The 2,260-nt window shown below is 38.7% G+C and overlaps 1 non-coding gene across 1 annotated transcript; it reads left to right on the forward strand.

Annotated features, from left to right (window-relative positions):
- The first annotated feature begins 1,778 nt into the window (after positions 1–1,778).
- On the forward strand, positions 1,779–1,989 carry LOC124901505 (small nucleolar RNA U3). The gene has a single exon (XR_007059936.1). It is a non-coding gene; the product is annotated as a small nucleolar RNA U3 (small nucleolar RNA).
- Positions 1,990–2,260: the final 271 nt, after the last annotated feature.

Consider the following 2,260-nt stretch of genomic DNA (forward strand, 5'->3'; position numbering starts at 1 on the left):
TTAGGTGGATAAATACAACACACACACACACACACACACACACACACACACACACACACACACCATTAACTCTATATGAAAAATAATAAATTCTTTAAATTCAGCATTCAAACCATAACTGCTTGGTTGCTAAGTTATAGACACATGGATCAAGGAAGCATGAGGATTCACACATCTGAAAAGTCAATATTGAAAACAAACTAACAAAACAAACAAAAAAGAAATCTCAATGTCTTTCAAGTAACTACTGATGGTGATTGTAAGCTGTTTCCAATTCACTTTTTTTTTCTTCCTAGGATCAGGGAATAATAAATCTTAGCAACTGTTACAGTCCAAGCTGGTTGTCAGATAGATGTGGGTACTAATAGAAAGGTTAAATGCCTTGGTTTATGACATACAATGATTAATTATAGAGCTAGGATTAGAACCCAGAAGCAATACAATTCTCTAATTTCTTTAGCATATTAAAGCCAATTTTGCTGGGCTAGACAGAGCAGTTGTGACAGTTAGCATTACATGAAATATCGGCAAGAAATTGATATTTTAAAACCCCAAACCTCACAAGGGGTAGTAAACAGACCATCAAAAGACGTGGGTTCTCTTTGCATGTCTGCCTCATGTGCTTGCAGCATAAGAAATGGGGCAACAAAATATTAATGTTGTAAAACATTTAGGGTTACACAAATAGAAGAAAAAACACTGAAATATGAAAATATATCAGATCTCTCATGATGAGGCCAGACTCCATTCCTGGTTGTCTCCTGCTGGGAGAGGGGGCTAGGATTCAGTCACATAGAATCATCTAGCAGCAGGATCCAGCTGGATATACCGCTCTGCTGCTAAAGTGAAGACAGAGTTAGAGTCCACTCCCACTTTGTTGGCTTTTTGTTTTATTGGCTTGTGGAACATTTAAATAAAGAGAGTCAGGGATTTTCTTAAATGCAGAAGGCGCCTATGATTTCCTATTTCTAAGATCGGAGATTCCAGTGTTCCTATAGGATTCTGCAGCTGGTTGGCTGCTGAGCAGTGAAATAGTGAGCCAGGGACACACAGCTTTGCCTAACAAATGGCACCTTTTCTAGATGCATGATTCTGCCATGTGTTTGCACATGCTATGTCAGCACCTTGAAATGTTCACCTTCCTATGTGTCACCTATCCATTAACACTCCTACCACCACCACCAAACTTCTAAGATTGCCTGATTGCCTGGCTTAACTGTCTCCTTTTTTAGGAAACCCCCCATAACTGCTTTGGACAGAAGTAATTGCTCCCTCATTTGTGGTACCATAGAACTTTGTTCTCACCTCTATGGTAAGATTTACCTTCATGTATTGTAGTTGCTCCTTCACCTATGCCAGATGTATAGGAGCTACAGCCTCTCCACATTTGAAAGTCAAGTGCCTAGAACAGCACTTGGCTAACAGCATGTATTAACGAGGTGTGTTGAATGAATGAATGAAATTTTGCAAGGTCATTTCGGTTTAATCAACACTTATGCACTTGGTCTTATTCTCTCCATTATTAATCTTTTAAAAAAACTTCAAAAATAGTTTTGCTGATTTAAAATTTAATTATTCTATCAGTTCACAAATACTAATTAGGCACTTATTATATGCCAGGAACTCTGGTTGGAGCAGACTGATTTTAGGGGACAGGTCATAGAAGAAATGGTAGAAAGAATAGAATTGTAGATCAGGTGCACATGGGGAACTATGGGAGGATTTTTAATAAAGAGGCAATACAATTTTACTGGTACTTTAAAAAATACTTGTTTCTAAAGGCTATACTTTCAGGAATCATTTCTATAGTTTGTTACAAGAGAAGTTTCTCTGAATGTGTAGAGCACCAGAAACCACGACGAGGACGAGAAGGCACAGCATTCTTTCCTAAATGTGAAGCCAGCTCTTGGTGTTGCTTCAACTGCCACTTGCCATTAATGACAGTTCTTCTTTCCCACTGGGAGAATAAAAAGGAGAGAATGCAGTCCTTTATTTTATATATATACACACATATATATGTATATGTGTGTATATATATGTTTCCAACTGCTGTGTGGGGAATAGGCCATAGTGGAGGAGTGGAAAGCAGAAAGACCACTTAACATATGCACTAGTTTTCTTCAACGTACCACAGTCTGAGTGGCTTAAACAAGAGAAATTTGTTGTTGCAAACTCCTGGAGGCTAGATGTCTGAGACCAAGGTGTTGGCAGAGTCGGATCCTTCTGACAGCTCTGAGGGAGACTCTCTTCTATGCCTCTC

This window comes from Homo sapiens, chromosome 6, assembly GCF_000001405.40.
Source record: "Homo sapiens chromosome 6, GRCh38.p14 Primary Assembly".
NCBI classification, from domain to species: Eukaryota; Metazoa; Chordata; class Mammalia; order Primates; family Hominidae; genus Homo; species Homo sapiens.